The sequence below is a fragment of the Homo sapiens genome, chromosome 9 (genome assembly GCF_000001405.40).
Source record: "Homo sapiens chromosome 9, GRCh38.p14 Primary Assembly".
Lineage (NCBI taxonomy): Eukaryota > Metazoa > Chordata > Mammalia > Primates > Hominidae > Homo > Homo sapiens.
Genome location: NC_000009.12, coordinates 69,874,761 through 69,895,151, shown reverse-complemented (window position 1 = coordinate 69,895,151; position 20,391 = coordinate 69,874,761). Strand labels below are relative to the sequence as shown.

At 37.5% G+C, this 20,391-nt stretch overlaps 1 protein-coding gene and 1 pseudogene across 10 annotated transcripts in view; one reads left to right on the top strand and one right to left on the bottom strand.

Moving 5' to 3' along the window:
• Positions 1-20,391, bottom strand: part of CFAP95 (cilia and flagella associated protein 95) — an 85,411-nt gene that overhangs the window by 11,076 nt on the left and 53,944 nt on the right. For 6 of the 10 annotated variants that reach the window (XM_011518229.3, NM_001010940.3, XM_011518234.4 and 3 more), the window contains one exon: positions 8,257-8,314. The exons of 1 other annotated variant lie outside the window; for it this stretch is intronic. In XM_011518229.3, coding sequence (XP_011516531.1) covers positions 8,257-8,314 — 58 coding nt within the window. Of the gene's footprint in view, positions 1-8,256; positions 8,315-10,029; positions 10,100-20,391 lie in introns of all 10 variants that reach the window. 3 more of the 10 variants (NR_131756.2, XM_011518230.3, XM_011518231.3) reach the window with 1 other exon arrangement.
• On the top strand, positions 10,498-10,789 carry RN7SL570P (RNA, 7SL, cytoplasmic 570, pseudogene; annotated as a pseudogene).

Sequence of the window (20,391 nt, the reverse complement as noted above, 5' to 3'; positions counted from 1 at the left end):
TAACTGATTGTAAATGTTAATCACATTTACAAAAGACCTCCACAACAACATCTAGAGAAGTATTTGACTAAACTACAGGGCAAATAACCTAGTTAAGTTAACACAGAAAATTAACCATCACACTGTCTAACCCTAGTCTTTTTTTTTTTTTCTTTTTTTTTGAGATAGAGTCTCACTCTGTCACCCAGGTTGGAATGCAGTGGTGCAATCTAGGCTCACTGCCACCAGGCCCAACTAATCTTTTGTATGTTTAGTAGAGATGGTGTTTCACCATGTTGACCAGGCTGGCCTGGAACTCCTAAGCTCAAATGAACTGCCCACCTCAGCCTTCCAAAGTACTGGGAATACAGGTGTGATCCACTGTGTCTGTCCATCTAACTCTAGTCTTAAAGTGAGATCAAGGCCTACAAAGGTTGGAGTATATAAGTTTTGAGTCGTGTTTTGCAAAGTAGCTACAAATATGGCACTTGGAATCAGACCCAAGTTCACTTTGAACACTTACATGGTGTGTTATTACTCATACTTAAACTCTCTGGGACACAGATTCCTCAGTATGTAATTCCAATAGGTTGATATTCTGGGGCAGTTGTGAGGATTAAGTGAGCTAATACATGTAAGATAACTAAGCCAGTGCCTGGAACATGGTAGACAATAAGTGTTACTTCATTCCTCTCTTCCTCCCTTTATTTCTTCTGTCCTCCCTCCTTTCCTTGTTTCCTTGCTTCCTTGCTTCATTCCTTCCTTCCTTCTACTCATCTACCAGCAACTGTATATTTTATTCAATAAGGCAAATTCTATTGTCTCCCAATCAACTCGGTAGTCCATGGAAGTTCTATGGAGTTATATGAGCAAAAACCAGCAGATCCTAAGGTTGAAGCTGGGGCCTAGGAAATGTGGTTCTTAGAGCTGGCAGAATGACATGAGACTCAGAACCAGAACTGTTTGTTTATAAAACTATATAAAACCAAGCCTTCAAGTATAAATATAAGGTCAGCACACATATGTATGACATGTGTTGAGATCTTTCAGACAAGATATTTAGGTTAGAAAGGCCACCATATCCTTTTGAACCCAAGTCAAAGAAGCCTGTTTCCATGGTTAACTAGCAGCAGCATTATGGGACACTCTGGCAGGGATTATAAGACCCTTCCCTCCTCTCCAATTCTACCCCCTACCACTACCTTATTTGCAGAGGATTCTAAAACTCTCACTCATTTCATTTCAGTCAATAATACACGATAAGATAAATAAGCAAATGGCAATTATTCATTTGTTAGTGAATATTGAGTCAGGCAATTAACAAGACAAAGAAAATTAAATCGTGGATATAGTCAGATGAAGTACAAATAAAATAGCACTAAAATGAAAGTAATAAAAATACATTATAAGCCTGGAACTTAGTTAAATTTCAGCCTTAATTTTCCAGGTACAAGTTTGGAAAAACCACACTTTAGAATACAAGGCTTTTATACTTCATTTTTCTATGTGGCCAGATTAACTTGAACAATTTTCCATGCTATTATTTTTTAAAATAACAGAAGAAAAAGAGGAGGAGGGAAAGGAGGAGGAGAAAGAAAAAGAAAGAGACTGTCTATGCTGAAATGAAAATGGGGAAGACAATAGGGACATGGAATGAAGCAAAGATACAAAGAGAGGACCTTAAAATAACTGGGATTTGAAAGCTAATATAATTCAGACAAGTGAGGCTTTCTATAGAATCTTCACCCTGTTCTGGATTCTCTTTCTGTCCCAGCTCTTTCTGTTTTTCAGCAAGCCATTCTTTCTCTTGTCTTCTTTTCAAGGCACCTGGTAGGCAACCCTTCCTAGTATAATGGGATAGCTCCCTTGACCCTTTCGTGGGACTCATGAAGGGGTGGCTTGCTTACTCAGCCCACAGCTCTCAACTCCTTGCAGGTAGGTAAGTGAGTGCAGAGTCTGGGATGAGTGCTTCTGGGTGACCAGCAGGAGCAGAACTCTGTGCGAGCCCATGGAAGCGCCTAGGGGTTGCCCATGACCCCCAGAGCCCCTGAGGGCATGTGTTAAAGTGTACTGTCTTAGCTTTGCCATCCACAGATGGCTAAGTGTTTAACAGCTCTGTGTGACAGCCCTCTGTATCCTGAGCTCTTGTTCAGTGTCCAGGAAGAATCAGATCACACAAACAAATTGAAGATGGTGTCCAGGAAGAATCAGATCATACAAACAAATCAAAGATGGTGAATGTGGAGCATTTTATCGAGCAGTGGAAGTGGCTCTCAGTGGGATGGAGAGCTGGAAAGGGATGGATTGGGAAAATAATCTTCCCCTGGAGTTCGGCTGTCCCTGGCTGAAGTCTTCTTTGAGGTCCTCTCAACGAACTGTCCCTCTGAAATCAAGCTGCTTCTCTCCAATGTCTGACTGCTTTTTCTCTTCTCTCCTTCTCTGCTGCTCTGCTGGTGAGGCCTAGGATTTTTATAGGTACAGGATGGGGTTGTGGCGGGCCAGGGTGGCTTTGGAAAAGGCAACGTTCAGGCAGGTAAAAAGGAATGTATATTCTCATTTTGGGCCATAGGTCCAGGCTTGAGGATGTGACCCTCACTGGAGATCGCCCTCTTCTACCCAGTATTTCCCTACCTGCTGTCCGTATCATTAGGAAATAGAAAACCAAAGGCAATTCCTCTTTGGAGAGTATCTTTGAGGTGAAAGAGCCTCATTAAACAATAAAGGGCTCCTAATGGTAATTCCTGCATGCCCAACTCTTGACTTTTAGCGAAGATGCATCTGCATCTGGGATGGTTAAGTATTTCTCAGCCAAGCCAACTGAGTAAGTTCTAGAAGCCTCCAGTCAGCCAGGTACTGATCTGGCTTCTAGGAAGTCCAGGCTGAAACAACTTAGCCATCAGACACAGAACGCAGAGTGCCTAGGGCTCACAATACTTTTAGGGGCCCGTGAACATATTTTAATTTCTTTTAAAATCAGAATCTTTAAAAATGAATATAACAACAGGAATGTACTTAATGCCATTGAATTACATGCTAAAAAAGATTAAAATAGTAAATTTTATATCATGTATATTTTATGTTATGCATATTTTACCACAATAAAAAAATGCGGATGTCATTTTGAAAAACAAACTCTGTAGAAACTCAAAGCTAAGCCCAGAAATGATGCTGATAATATAATATCCATAAACACCTCAGAGCAAAGAAACTGATGACAGCTGTTATACAGAAAATTGGTCTTAAAATAGGGCATAGAAGTCCAAGAGTGCTTCCCAGTGGGGGATTAAAAAAAGAACACTGTGTGATAACAACACTCATTGGTATGTTAGTAATAATTTCAGGAGGGTTAAGAATAACGTGGTCATATCACATGGCCATAAAATACAGTAACGCAGTCAAAAATAGGTAAGGATTCAAACTGCGTAAAAGAGGGGAGAAAAGATGGGTATTTTTTACAAAATGAAAATGAGAAATATAGCCTAAAAAGATATTTCTTTTTAAAAAGCTTTTATTTTAAGTTCAGAGGTATATGTGCAGGTTTGTTTATGTAGGTAAATTTCATATCATGGGGGTTTGGTGTACAGATTATTTTGTTACCCAGGTAATAAGCATAGTACCCAATAGGTAGTTTAGATATTTCTTTAATAAGCTTTAAATCCAAAAAAAAAAAAAGAAGAATATAGTCTAACTCGGATTACTTTTGTCTTTATATCAACTCAGTTGTAAAATATATTTCTTTGTTTGCTTTAGTGGAGGAAGGGGCCCATGAAGGCAAAAGTGCTTAGGGCCCAGGAAAGTCATAGTGCATCCAGGAAGTCCAGGGTCCCGGGGGACTTGAGGCCACAGCTCATTTCCAACCAGCACAGAAATCTCAATATTTTAGCAATGCCACATCCATACCAGTGCATAGAGTCCCAGTAGTAGGACAGGCAATCCTGCCATTTCAGGGACTAACTGCTGTTAAAGGGATATAGTTTCTTCTTTACTCTGAAACAATACATGGACGCCTTGTCCATGTATTGTGAAACAATTCTCTGTTAAAAACTTTCTCAGTTTCTAACAGCCAGCTTTGGATCAGTTCTCTAATGTACCTTCTTTCCAACTTTTCCGCTGTTCTGGTTCTTTGGGAAATGATGGAGGTACTTTCAAGAGAAGGTATCTTTAATTGAAATTGAGATGAGCTATAATAAACATCCAGTTTAAGAGGAGAAGTTCAAAATAAACGGGTTGCAATTTTCTTCCATTTCCCTGCTTGGAAATGACCCCATGGCTTCCTAATCCTCTGTATTTCTTTACCAATGCTTAGAGCTATGGAATGATAAACTGCATTCCCTTTACTTTCTATAATGCTGTCCCACTTTATACAAATGTGGATTAAGGAAACGTAAGAGACCATAATATAAAAATTAATCAAGTCTCAATTTATGCACAACATTTGAGATAATATAAATCCAAATATTTTCAGATTTCTTCAAAACTTGCATAATTGCAGATGTAGTAGACCGAATGAATGGTGAACTGTGTTCATGGCAAGGCCACATGGTGAAGTCTCTAGCAAGAAAATATTCTCTCCTTTTTCAGTATGTGTGAATTATATGCTTGTTTATGTGCACGACAACATCTGTTAAGAGTTCAATCACTACTCTCTGTTATTTAACTATCCACTGTTATTATAATCAAAAGTTATTTGTATCCAATAACAATGTCATGCAAGCATTCATTAAATGTGGGTGTCAGAAGCAGCGCTAAAAACGTGCCTCAAAATCAATTGCTTTGGAAAAGACATTAGAAGTAAGTGAACAAAATTGCAAATAAAGGCAAACAACTGTCATGGTATGCTGTGCTGTTAATGTGGAAACAAATAACATGAGAAATATTAGAAATAATGCTGAAAAAATTAAAAGCATAAATATATAATGCAATGGTTAATGATTTATGTGCCCTAAAAATACATCCCACATTATTTATATTTATAATATTTAGTCCTTTGAAATTTGTGAGTTTTTAATTAGATTTCTTTTATTTAAAGATACAGTCCAATCCCATGTAAATAAGAAAATGGACCTGAAATGCATTTTAAAATGATATGTTTCTTTCCTTGTGGTTTTTCTGATGATAAACCATCACACTTGTTACATTGGATAATTCTAAAAAGTGTAAAGATGAAGAAAATCACCTAGAATCTCAACATTCATTGGCCAACTGTGCTAGCATTTTGGCAGTTTCCCTAGTTTCTAAAATTTTCTCTATATTTTTATGTAGTTTGGATAAAATATACATGCAACTTTGTAACTTAATTTTTTTACCCTTAAATGAAGATTTATCAAGACACTAAGAACTATCTATGGAGATTATAAAGGCTGCACAATATTTCATCATATGACTATAACATACTTGATTAATGCTACTTCTAATGTTACAGCCCAATGGATTCTTCTTGCCTGCCATCCCCCAAAAAACAATACATTGAGAACAGCAGGTGTTGCAGCAAAGAAAGAGTTTAGTTATCACAGGACCAGCCAAGCAGAAGGACAGGAGAAATTTCTCAAATCCACCTTCCCAACAATTCAGAGGCTAGGGGTTTTAAGAATAATTTGGTGGGCTAGGGCCTGGGGAACTGAAAAGATTGGCTGAGAATGAAATCACAGGAGTGTCTAAACTGTCTTTGCATAGCTGAGTCAGTTCCTAGGAGAGGATCTCAGGACCAGGGAACATTTCTCTGACTGCTGAAATGCTAAATGTGAAAAATATCTCAAAGACCAGTTCTTTAGGTTTCACAACAGTGAAGTTATCTGGGAGTAGTTGGGGAAGTTATAAATCTTGTGACCCTCGTTAAATGGATCTGGAGCAGTAAGCAACGTATAGAAAAGCAAGTTAAGCAATGCCAGGTCATTATTTAACTATGCCTATTCTTTAGCAAAGTTCAAGCCCTTACCATAAGTCTAACCTTATGACCTTTTGTTAGTATTTACAAATACGGTTTCCATTTTTGAACGAGGGTATCAGTTCAGAAAAAGAACTGTTATGGCCTCCACACAAGAAGGAGCAAAAGCAGCTGAGCCTGGTAGAAGCAAGATGGACTCAGTTATGTCACATTTCCCTTCTTACTATAGTTTTTGCAAAGGCAGTTTCAGTAATACTAAATATTTAGGTACTTTCCAAGTTTTGTCATCATAAATAATTCAGTGATGAATGTATTTGCATATGAATTTTATTGCTAGTTTCAATTACTTTTCTTTGGGGAAGTTTCCTAGAAAAAGAATTATTAGGTCAAATTTTTTTTTTTTCCCTTTTTGAGACCAAGTCTCACTCCATCACCCAGGCTGGAATGCAGTGGCACAATCTCTGCTCACTGCAACCTCTGCCTCCCGGGTTCAAGAGATTCTCCTGCCTCAGCCTCCCAAGTAGCTGGAATTACAGACACGCACCACCACATGTGGCCAATTTTTGTATTTTTTTAGTAGAGACAAGGTTTCGCCACATTGGCCAGGCTGGTTGCAAATGTCTGACCTCAAGTGATCCACCTGCCTCGGCCTCCCAAAGTGCTGGGATTACAGGCCTGAGCCACCCTGCCTAGCCTCAAGTAGTATGTTTTGAAAACATTGACAATTTTATTCTCAAAAGAAAAATCTTTTTGTCTTAATTCATATTGTTTAGTATTTGTAAATGGGGTGTGTTCCCTATATTTACTAGTTAGTTGATTATATTTCCTACTTTGTAAACTGCCCATATATTATTTCCTTTGCTCATTTCTCTAGGGTCATTAACATTTCTCCTGCCAATATGTATGAGTTCTATATATATTAAGTATATTAAACAATAAACTACCACATTTGCTGTTTCTATGTCTTAAATATTATTTTTTTAAATAGAAAAATATAAATCAGAATGTAGCATATAATGAAGGTGGCGTCCTAAACCCCTTACTTCCCTAAATCGGTTATGCTACCTTTTCAAAACATTTCTGATTATTCTTATCTGTTTGTCCTTTCAAATAATTCCTGGAATCTTAAAATTCTCATAGAAAACAAATTCCATTGGAATTTCATTATATTAAACTTATAAATTTGGTTTATAGTTAGTTTAGTTTTCCAGTTCCCTAAAATGGTAGCTATTCCTTTTTATTTGAGATATCTGCCTCAGTCATGTTTTGGTTCATATTTTAAAACAAACAGATAATGGCTTCAATTTCTTCTTTTGGATCCTCAAGGGTTGCAGTCAGATGGAAGCCAGAGCTGGAGTCCAGGCTCTGCTAAGCTGATTATCCACGATGGCTTCCTCACTCGTAAGTCAAGCTTGCCAGTGTTCCTCCCACGGCCTCTCCCTCCAACAGAGTAGCCTGGATTCTCTGGTGGCTCAGAGCTTAAAAGGTGGAGGCAATCTTAAAGCTAGGCTTAGAACTGGCACACAGTCACTTTTGCCATGTTCTACTGATCACCTCAACTCGAGATGGAGGAATCCTCACCTTCAATGGTGAGTGGCTTGTGCCAACAGGAAGGTCTGCCATCTTTGGAGATAAACTGCCACATTATCTTTTATTGATCCTGGTGAAACTTTCCTCACTAAAGAATTTTGAATTTGTGTTGCTAATAATAATTAGTATGCTTTTTTCTTTTATAATTTATTAACTGTTAGTGTTGATGTGAAGGAAAGCTATTGTCTTATTTATTCTAATTACTTCTCAGATTAATATCTTGGTTCTCCTGAATAGATAATTATACTATTGGAAAATAAGATGTTTTTCTCTTCTTTACCAATAGTTAAATATCTTATTTCTATCTCATGTCTACTGCCCTGGTTAAGATTTTCAGAATAAGGCTAATTGGAAGCAGCCTTGTTTTGTTTCTGTTGCATAATTTGTAAAGTAGAAATACATTCAAGTTATAAACTGGACATTCTTAAATTAACATACATATTTCCCAGAGCTATATTAAGCCACTTATTTTTATGTGTTGATGCAATACAAATGAATAGAAAGTGGGTTCTTATTCCAGATAAATTGAATTCAGGGAGGGGACAAGTAAACAAGATGAGGAAGAAAGTGTCTAATATACTTTAGATACGGCAATATTTTTCCCTGAAATCGATAAACATCCAAAAATAAATCATAACCATAAAACATTGTCATGATTCCAATAAACAGCTAATATCTCAAAATAAATGTAAAATATCATAAGCTTTAGCAATTTCTCCTTTCTTCCCAAGTTTGACTATACTAGGTGCAAATAATCATTTCAAGTACACAAATAGGTAGAAGACTACGGTTCTTGTACTCACATGTGGCTGATAATCATATGGTGGAACATAATCTTCTGAGTACGTTGTCAATGCACACCTAAGAGGGATAAGTCAATGAGGAAAGAATGACTTCAAAAACGAAAAATATTTTACATTTTTATTGGTATACACTTTACATGAAATAAAAACATTTCAGGAAGGATTGGCCCTAATCAAAATTTAAAACCCCACAACTGTCCCAGCCTCTGTATATAGTATTGCCCACCAGCAGCAGGGTACCCCTTACTTCAATTTCAGCAGTCTCCCTTATCCTTAGAGAATATGTTCCAAGACCCCTAAGTGGATGTCTGAAGCCTCCGATAGTACTGAATCCAATTGCTGTCAATTAGAACACATTTCTGTTCACGTTTTCTACCCACAAATATAGTGCCTTTTTCATCTTAGCTAAGGACTTATCAAGCACTATGGCCTTCACTATTGCAGTTTGAGATACAACAGCAAAACTAGCATGGATTTTTCTTTTCTTCTTTATAATTGCAAGGATGAAAGATTTGTTCTTACCATAGGTCTTAGCAACCTCAGCATACGATTTTTTTTTCTCTCCTTAAGTTGAGAACTTTCATCTTTAAGCACCTAAAGTGCTTAAAGGAAGCACTTGACAGCTCGTCTTTAGCATATCTGAATGCCTGCACCACCACTCTTGCACTCTAGAGCCATCATCAAGTATAATAAGGGTTACTTGAACACAAGCACTGCAATACCATGACAATCTAATAATGAAGAAGGCTACTCAGTGACTAACAGCCAGGGACAGTAGACAGTGTGGAGACACTGGACAAAGGGAGGATTCATGTCCTGAACTGGATGAAGCCAGATGACACAAGATTTTGTGGCACTACTCAGAGCCACCTGCAAGTTAAAACTTACAAATTGTTCATTTCTGAAATTTTCTGTTTAATATTTTCGGACTGCAGTTGACCTCATGTAACTGAAACTGTGGAAAACAAAACTATGAATAAGGGGAGACTACTGTACTTCCAATTTAGCACCACCTACTACTCTCCTGTACTAATGATATGTGTGAAAGCCCAGGCTCAAGTCCCTGAGCTCAGGAGCTCTGCATTCCAAGGATTCTCTTTACCACCAACTTCCTGCCTCTATGAACTTTTTGACCCACATTCTTTGCCAGGTGACCGCTGAAGAATAGTGGAGGACAGCCAGATAGACTGAGATTACATAACATTCCCAACCTCCACCCCATTAAACACACAGAAATGCTGGATGAAATACATCCACACTCATCCCCCAAAGTCTACAAGTATAGCCAAGCCCAAAAGGGAAACCCTGAGGTGCTAGAACTGAAGAGGATAGTCATTATAATGGGAAATCATAAACTGATGTGGAATTTGACCCACACATCTAGAGTAAGAGACTTGGCCTTAGATTCACAGGAGGCAGAGAGCTGAACTCCAACTGCAGCCAAGAATCTGTAAAGGTTATACCTCCATATAAAAGAAACCAGAGAAACCTCAGCTATCAATCCAGAGAAACTTGCAAGAAAGTTTCTCTCTGCTTGAGTTCACAGTAGGGGAAAAATTATTCTCTTATGATAAATTAAAACCCCACCTCCATTCCTGGCAATATTATGGGACTGGATGGCCAAAGAAACTCCTCTGAGTATTGCATACTGAAAAACCAGGGTAAAAGGAAATTTTAAGAAGTTTTAACGCATGGCTGAGCTGGTGAGAAAGTAACAGAACCCCAACAAGAATCCCAAAATAACAAGTCCAACTTAGACGGGCTGTTGGATACCTGGGTGGTAACCACCAATTCTTGCCAGGCCCTCAGGTTGTGGTGATTTCCTGAGTAGTAGCAGCAGTACCTGGGAACAGAAATGCGAATACTTGGTTCCCACCACAAAACAACTAAATTAGAAACTCTAGGGGTGGGACCCAGCAATACATATCTCAGCAAGCCCTTCAGGTGATTCTGATGTACACTAGAGTTTGAGTACTAATGATTAAAACAACAAAAATTAGAAATGTAACTTTCAAACCATCAAATGGGTTTTTTTTTAAAGACAAATCTAATAGAAGTCAGGAAAGGAGAATAAAAGGAACAGGGGGACATTATTTCTGCTCATAAAACAAATTAAAATCATAAAAATAAAATTAAATATCTTAGCAATTATAATAAAAATAAAGGGGTTAAGCCTATCCGTGAAAATATTTTCTCAGACTTAAATTGAACATCAAACTGTATTTAAAAAAAAAACCTCCTATTTGTCATGTTCGGTGGCATGTGTCTATAGTCCCAGCTACTCAGGAGGTTGAGGCAGGAGGGTCAATTGAGCCCAGGAGTTCTGAGCTATAGTGCTGTATGCCTATGGGGTGTCCACACTAAGTTCAACATCAGTATGGTGACCTCCCAGGAGCAGGACCACCAGATTGCCTAAGGAGGGGTGAACCAGCCCAGGTCAGAAAGGCAGCAGGTCAAAACTCCTACACTGGCTGGCTCAGTAGCTTGCACCTGTACTCCCAGCTACTCAGGAAGCTGAGGAAAGAGATCTCTTAAAGCCAGGAGTTCGAGGCTGCCATGAGCTATAGCAGCACCAGCACAGGTGACAGAGAGAGATCCTGTCTCTAAAATAAAAACAATTTTTAATGATCAGCTACCTGCTTTTATATCTAAAATAAAATTACTTTCAAAGAAGCTTGAAAGTAAAAATACATAAAAATATATACCAATGCATGGAAATTAAAATATGTACTTCTCAGTGACCAGTGGCTTAATGAAAACATTAAGAAGGAAATTGAAAAATTCCTTAAAACAAATGACAATGAAAACACAACATACCAAAACTTAAAGGATACAGTGAAAGCAGTACTAAGAGGGAAATTTATAGCTATAAGTGCCTACATCAAAAAAGAAGAAACACCTCAAATAAATAACCTAAATAACCTATTGATGCATCTTAAAGAACTAGAAAAGCAAGAGCAAACTGAATCCAAAATTAGTAGAAGAAATGAAATAATAATCAGAGTAGAAATAAATGAATTTGAAATGAAGAAAACAATACAAAAGAATGATTTTTTTTTAATTGTTTTTTTTTAAAAAAATAAACAAAATTGACAAACCTTTAGCCAGACTAAGACAAAAAGAGAGAAGACCCAAATAAATAAAATCAGAGATGAAAAAGGAGACATTACAACTGATAGGGCAGAAATTCAAAGGATCGTTAGTGGCTACTACAGGAAACTATATGCCAATAAATTAGAAAATCTAGAAGAAATGGGCAAAACTCCTAGACACATACAACCTACCAAGACTGAACCATGAGGAAATCCAAAACCTGAACAGGGTAGTTGACAGAGCAGGAGCGTCGCCATCTTGGACAAACACCACCATTTTAAAGTTCACTTTCATCAAAAACTGCCTGAATCCAAAGGGCATCAGCCTAATGGCTAAGGTCAGCATGTTCATAAACCACAAATGACATCTCCAACCAGAAACATTCCAACCTTAAGATAAACCCCTCCCCAACCAGAGAGATGTCAGCCCCAAGATAACCTCCCCTCCAACCAGAGTCATTCCAACCCCACATAAACTTCTCCCCAACACAGAAACATTCCAAGCCTATGATAAGTTCTCTAGCCCTGAACCTTTAAATACTCTTAGTCTGTATGAGAGAATGCTCCTGACGGAAATCGGCCAGAAGCCCCTCTCAGGTTTATTCTCCAAAATAAACCTGTCTTTGACTGTTGAGCCACTTTTTGTGTTTCTTTCCTCTTTCTTTAACTCTTACACCAATAACAAGTAATGAGATCACAGATAAAAAATCTCCCAGTAAAGAAAATCCCAGGACATGAGGGCTTCACTGCTGATTTCTACCAAACATTTAAAGAACTGATACCAATCCTACTCAACTATTCTGAAATATAGAGGCAGAAGGTATACTTCCAAATTCATTCTAAGAGGCCAGTATTACCCTGATTCCAAAACCAGACAAAGACACATCAAAAAAAGAAAACTACAGGCCAGTATCTCTAATGAATATTGATGCACAAATCCTCAATAAAATACTAGCAAACCAAATTCAACAACACGTTAAAAAAATCATTCATCATGACCAAGCAGGATTTATCCCAGAGACACAAGGATGGTTCAACCTGTGCAAATCTATCAGTGTGATACATCATATCAACAGAATGAAGGATAAAAATTATACAGTCATTTCAATTGATGCAGAGAAAGTATTTGATAAAAGTTCAACATCCCTTTATAATACACATCCTCAAAAAATTGAGTATAGAAAGAACATACTTCAACATAATGAAAGCTTTATATGACAGACCCACAGCTAGTGTCATACTGAATGCAGAAAAACTGAAAGCCTTTCCTATAAAATCTGAAATACAACAAGGATGGCCACTTTCACCACTGTTATTCAACATAGTACTGGAAATCTTAGCTAGAGCAATTAGACAAAAAAAAGAAATAAAGGGCATCCAAATTGGAAAGGAAGAAGTCAAATTATCCTTGTTTGCACATGACATGATCTTATATTTAGAAAATCCTAAAGACCACCAAAGAAACTATACTGATAAACAAATTCAGTAAAGTTGCAGGACACAAAATCAACATACAAAAATCAGTGGCAGATCAGGCATGGTGGCTCATGCCCCCAGCATTTTAGGAGGCCAGGTGGGTGGATCACTTGAGGCCAGGAGTTCAAGACCAGCCTGGGCAACATGGTGAAACCCAGCTTCTACAAAAATACAAAAATTAGCCAGGTGTGGTGGCACACACCTCTAATCCCAGCTATTCAGGTGGCTGAGGCAGGAGAATTGCTTGAACTTGGGAGGCAGCGGTTGCAGTGAGACATGATCACACTACTGCATTCCACCCTGGGTGACAGAGCAAGACGGTCTCAAAAAAAAAAAAGGCATTTCTATATGTTAACAGGGAACAATCTGAAAAAGAAATTTAAAAAAAACCTAATCCCATTTACGATAGCCACAAATAAAATTAGATACCTAGGAATTAACCAAAGAAGTGAAAGATCTCTACAATGAAAACTATAAAACATGGATGAGAGAAATTGAAGAGAACACCACAAAATGGAAAAATATTTTATGTTCATGGCTTGGAAAACTCAATATTGTTAAAATGTCCATATTACCCAGAGCAATCTACAGATTCAATGCAACCCCTATCAAAATACCAATGACATCTTTTATGGAAATAGAAGAAACAATCCTAAAATGTATATGGAATAACAAAAGACACAGAATAGCCAAAGCTATCCTGAGCCAAAAGAACAAAACTGCAAGAGTCACATTATTTGACTTCAAATTATGTTACAAAGCTATAGTAACCAAAACAGCATGGTATTAGCATAAAAACAGACACACAGACCAATGGAACAGAATACAGAACCCAGAAACAAATCCACACACCTACAGTGAATTCATTTTTGAGAAAGGTGCCAAGAACAGACACTGGAGAAAAGACAGTCTCTTCAACAAACGGTGCTGGGGAAACTGGATTTCCATATGCAGAAAATGAAACTAGACCCCTATCTCTCACCATATACAGAAATCAAATCAAAATGGATTAAAGACTTTAATCTGTGACCTCAAACTATGAAACTACTACAAGAAAACATTGGGAAAAATCTCCAGGACATTGGTCTGGGCAAAGACTTCTTGAGCAATACTCCACAAGCACAGGCAGCCAAAGCAAAAGTAGACAAATGGGATCACATCAAGTTAAAAATCTTCTGCATGGCAAAGGATACAATCAACAAAGCGAAGGGATAACCCACAGAATTGGAGAAAATATTTACAAACTACCCATCTGACAAGGGATTAGTTACCAGAATATATAAAGAGCTCAAACAACTCTACAGGAAAAAAAAAATCTAATAATCCTATCAAAAAATGGGCCAAAGATTTGAATAGACATTTCTCAAAAGAAGACATACAAGTGGCAAATAGGCATATGAAAAGGTGCTCAACATCATTGATCATTAGAGAAATGCAAACCAAAACTACAATGAGATATCATCTCATGCCGGTTAAAATGGCTTATATCCACAAGACAGGCAATAACAAATGCTGGTGAGGATGTGGAGAAAAGGAAACCCTTATATACTGTTGTAAGAATGTAAATTAGTACAACCACTATGGAGAACAGTTTGGAGGTTCCTCAAAAAGCTAACAATTGAGCTATCATATGATGCAGCAATCCCACTGCTGGGTATATATGCAAAACAAAGGAAATCAGTATATCAAAGAAATACCTGCACTCCCAAGTTTGTTGCAGCACTGTTCACAATAGCCAAGATTTGGAAGTAACCTAAGAATTCATCAACAGGTGAATGGATAGAGAAAATGTGGTACTTATAGACAATGAACCACTATTCAGCCATTAAAAAGAATGAGATTCTGTCTTTTGCAACAACATTGATAGAACAGGAGATCACTATGTTAAGTGAAATAAGCCAGGCACAAAAAAAACAAATATCACATGTTCTCACCGTGTTTGAGGGATCTACAAACCAAAACAACTGAACTCATGGACATAGGGAGTAGAAGGATGGTTACCAGAGGATGGGAAGGATAGTCAGGGCAGGGAAGGGATGGCATAGTGGGGAGGTGGGATGGTGAATGGGTACAAAAAATAATAGAGAGAATGAGTAAGACCTAGTATTTAATAGCACAACGTGGGGACTATAGTCAATAGTAATTTAATTGTACACTTTAAAATAACTAAAAGAGTATAATTGGATTGTTTGTAACACAAAGGATAAATGCTTGAGAGGATGGATACCCAGTTTTTCATGATGTGATTATTATGCATTGCATGCCTGTACCAAAATCTCATGTATTCTATAAATACATACACCTACTATGTACCCACAAAAATTAAACATAAAATAATAAAAAATAAACCAAAACAAACAAAAATATATAAAAGTATATACAGTGTGATGTGAGAGACCAAAATAGATGCCCCTTTATCAACTAAGACAGAACCTAAGGTTAAAAAAAAAACAAAAAGTTACCTATGGGTTGGGGATTCAGGGATGGTTTGGCATGGCAAATTTCTAAATTCTCACTAAATATCCTAACAATAGGAGATATCAGGCCAATTGTCCTAATTCTGACTTACGATCCAAACCACTATGACTCTAATTGGATAAAGGACTGGCCTTACAAACTTTCTTCTCTGATAAGCAATTGCAGACCTTTAAACAGTTTCAGCCAGCTGATAGAGGCTGTGCATAAACTGTCTTTGTGTCCTAAAGTTCACCCTTTGATAAAGCCAAATTCCACCTCATTTTAATGTTAAAACCCAGTCCCAAAGTGAACGTAGGATGTATGTCATATGCATATTTATCCATTACATATGCGCACAGCTCCCTCATAAATACGTATAGCTTTTCCCCCCGAACCTCCTGAATATGCATGATTCAGGCCCTGTGAGGCATAAAACCCAAACTGTGCTTCCCCTCGTCCATGCTGGAGACTTTCTCTTCCCAGCTTCCAAACCAATATCTCCAATAAAGCTCTCCTTTCTACTATTTAGCCATCCTGGTGATCTTTTGGTCAACAATAGCAAATATTAACCAAAGGAAATTGAATTCTTATAATAACATCCTATGTAAGAGACTTTGAGCAAAAATTACTAGTTACAAAGATCATTATCTACTGATTAAAAGAGCAAGTCACCAAGAAAGTATATAACAATCTTATGTCAATAAACCTAACAACATATAGAATATTGACACTGTTTGGATATTTGTCCCTGCCCAAATCTCATGTTGAATTGTAATTCCCAATACTGGAGGTGAGGCCTGGGGGGAGGTGTTTGGGTCATGGAGGCAGATCCCTCATGGCCTGGTGCCATCGTCATAATAGTGAGTGAGTTCTCGCACTATCTGGTCATATAAAAGTGTGTAGCTCCTGCCCCCCAACTCTCTTTCTTGCTCCTGCTTCTGCCATGCGATGTGCCTGCTCCCCCTTCACCTTCTGCCATGAGTAAAAGCTGTCTGAGGACTCCCTAGAAGCTGAGCAGATGCCAGCACCATGTTTCCTATAAAGCCTGTAGAACTGTGAGCCAATTAAACCTCTTTTCTTTGTAAATTACCCAGTCTCAGGGATTTCTTTATAGCAATGCAAGAACAGCCCAATACAAATACGTAAGACAAAAATAGACCAGAATCACAGAAATAAAATGACAAATCCACATTTATGCAGGAAGATTGTAACACACATTTCTCAACCCTTTGGTTCCTTAAATCCAAATCTCTACATACATCCTCCAAAACCATACAGGTCAACAGTAAAGCAAATAAAACTTCACAATTGCCCAGAGGTAGAGCATAGTGAAGGATAGGGAATACCACAAACTTGGATTTACATGTAGGTAGAACAGTCCAGAATCCGTAGAGCCAAATCAGAGCCCATGCTGAAACAGAATCAGGCAGGGATTATATGGAAGACAGGAGAGGTGGCAAGTCTCTAGCAGGGGTGAAACACAGAGGACAGCACCCACAGAAGGAGAACGCCCTTCCCTGATGAGGAAATCGTAAGAACAAGTCTAAGACCAGAAGATCTGAAGCATGACTTTTCAAGGAAGTATCCAGGACCACAGTTATAGTCTTGGGAAGACACTGCTTCTGGGAAGGAGCAGTACAACTAGAAGGTAAAGAAAAATGAGAAATAAAACACAAGAAAATAAGGATCCTAGGGCTGTAAGGTAGTATCACGATTATCAGTAAACATCACTCCCTCCTATGTTTCACCACCCCAGAAACGTGTCATTAATTAAATAAGCCTCACTTCACTGTTAGAACTGAAGAGGGCACTCTTGAACTAGGATATTGAGCAAACTGCCCAAAGTTTTCATTCCTCCTGGATAGAATTATCTATGATTGCTGCTAGTCCAGGAAAATCCATCATACTTTAAATGAACAGAACAAGGCAACATTACTATGAGAAGAACACAATAAAGAAGAATAAAAACTAAGCTCATGAAAATTCTCCCCCTGAAATAGTCCCAGTCACAGAAGTCCTCCATTAGCATTTCTATTCAATAATGCACTAGAGAGCCTAGAAAATGCAGTAAAACAAGAAAGACAAGCAAAATCAACATTAGCAAATAGCATAATTGGAATAAAGGAAACAAAATCATCATCTTCCATGGATGACAAAGTTGTTTACATTTTTAAAAATACAAGAGAATCTACAAATTATAACAATAGGCAAGTTTCAGCAAGGTTGTTGGATAAAAGATCAATATACAAAAATAGCATAGCCATATACCTGCAACAAGAAATTAGAAAGCATAATCAAAGGAGGAAAATCCCATTTATACTTGCAACAAAATATCTGTTTCCTATAAGAATACATGTAACAGAAGATATACAAGTCATTTATGGGGAAAATACAAAATGTTGTGGAAAAACGTAAAATAATTTATGTACGTGTGGAATGGTGGATATAATGATAGCAATTATTCCATCCAAAAAATTTAAAGCACTTCCAATCTAAACACCAATAAGGTGTTTTGTAGAACTTGACAAACAAATCCTAATAGTCATATGACTCTATGAAGTGCCAAAGAGAGTCAGTATAAAAATAGACCAATTGAGAAAATGTAAAGCCTAGAAGCAGAACTGCTTAAATATAGGAATTTGGTGTATGATGGAAATGGCCTTACAAGTTAGTGAGGAAAGAGTGAGTCACGTGATGCTGGGCTAAACCTTTAGTCTTATAAAAATATTACATATAAGCATATATAATTACATGTATATTACGTATATATGTATGCATTATATATGAAATTTCTAAAATTTTAGAATTTGACATTTCATATTTAGGTCTTGACTAAATTGTAAATTAAAACTTCTGTTGATCAAAAGATACTATAAACAAAGTTTTCAGAAAAGTCATAGACTGGAAGAAGATGTTTATTATAAATCTAACCAAAAGGCTGGGTGCAGTGGCTCATGCCTGTAATCCCAACACTTTGGGAGGCCAAGGCAGGTGGATCACTTGAGGTCAGGAGTTTGAGACCAGCCTGGCCAACATGGTGAAACCCCGTCTCTACTAAAAATACAAAAATTAGCCAGGCGTGCTGGCGGGTGCCTGTAGTCCCAGCTACTTGGGAGGCTGAGGCAGGGGAATCACTTGAACCCAGGAGGCGGAGGTTGCAGTGAGCCAAAACTGCGCCATTGCACTCTAGCCTGGGAGACAGCGCAAGACTCCATCTCAAAAAAATAGTAAAATAAAATGAAATAAATCTAACCAAAAGAGGATCAATAAAATAAATCTAACCAAAAGAGGATTAATAACAGAATTAATTTTTTAAAACTCTTTTTTTTTTCTTTTTAGACAAAATCTCACTCTGTCATCCCCAGGCTGGAGTGCAGTGGCACAATCATGGCTCACTGCAACCTCTGCCTCCCAGGTTCAAGCAATTCTCCTGCCTCAACCTTCCAAGTAGCTGGAACTACAGGCATGCATCACCAGGCCCAAGTAATTTTTGTATTTTTAGTAGAGATGGGGTTTTGTCATGTTGGCCAGGCTGGTCTTGAACTCCTGGCCTCAAGAGATCCACCTGCCTTGGTCTCCCAAAATGCTGGGATTATAGGCCTGAGCCACTGTGCCCAGCCTTTAAAACTCTTGCAAATCAAATTTAGTAATTAGTGAAATGCAAAGTAAAACAACAATGAAATGCCATGTAATATCTATTAGATTGATAAAAATTAAAAATCCCTATTTATAAGGATATGAAACAATAAATATGTTCAAGCAAAACTAGTGGCAATATCTTGCAAAATTGAAGGTGCATATGTCTTATTACCCAACAATTCTGAGTATAAAGAAAACTCTTTTTTAAAAAATGTTATTGCGAATTGGTGATTTATAATTGTAATATTTATGGTGTATAAAGAAACTCTTACATATATATTCAAGGAGATGTGTATAATGACAGTTACTGTGGCCTTATTTGTAATAGTGAAAATTTGGAAGCTAATGTCCTGCAAGAAAATGGATATATTGAATGGCCATATAAATCATGATAAACCATTTCTTTAAAAACATTGAAGCATGTATAGTAAAAATATTAACTTACATTATAACTGGGTAATGAGTAGATGGATGTTTGAAGAGTATTTTAGATAATGAAAATATTCCATAATCTTAAAATATGTTTGTGTTAATAGACAACAGTGAACTTGCTTCCCTACCCTCTTCCTACTCAAAGTTATGACTCAAATGATATGCTTATCAGGAACCCCAGCAGAACACTGGAGAGTTGCTTTGGGTAGAACTGTCCTGCAGGTCAGCTTTTGGGTATCTCTCCACTCGTGTAAAGCAGATAGAAACCTATCCCTCCTAATTGAGCCCTTTTGCCTCTCCTTATTATCACCTCCCAGCACAGAGTCTGATACAAAGTAGGCAATGAGAAACATTCATTGAATATTTAAATCAATAAAAATAAAATTAGAATATAAAGAGATATAGATTAACTACACTGAGTATGCAAAGTAAATACAGGTGAAAGATTAAAACATTCAGTTATCTTTCTAAAAAGGCATTGTGGAACAAAATGGAAACTTTTATAATATTGAATGATGACTTTCAGCCAATTACTCACCAACTCTTTGTGATTGCCTTCTCCTTCCCTCACCCCCTTAAAAAAAAAATCCAAAAAACAGGGCAACAATCAATTTTTAAGTGATAGAGAGTACATTATGTGCTCCCCAAATTTGAAATAAGGTGGTCTTTTGAGAATAAAAATATGGGAAATCAACATGGATATTCCTCTAGATATTAGCTGTAGCAAAAAGAACAAGTCCATTAAGAGAAATGCCCTTCAGAGAAACTCCAGGAAGCAAGAGGTCAGAAAAACAACAGAGGCATTATTTCTAGGCATTGTCTTGGGGAAGAGGTATCCTGGTTTACAAACAGATCCCCCTGGTTCTGGAAGCAGAGCTGGACTACATCAATGTCAATCCACCAACCCGGACTTACTGACAGCCAACAGTGATTTAAGTCATTATCTGGAACCAGCAGGAACAAGCCTGTGCCAGGTGGCTCTGCTTTACAGCTCCCATCCCTACTCGTGGCTCTTAGGTCCAAATACCAGTCTGATCAG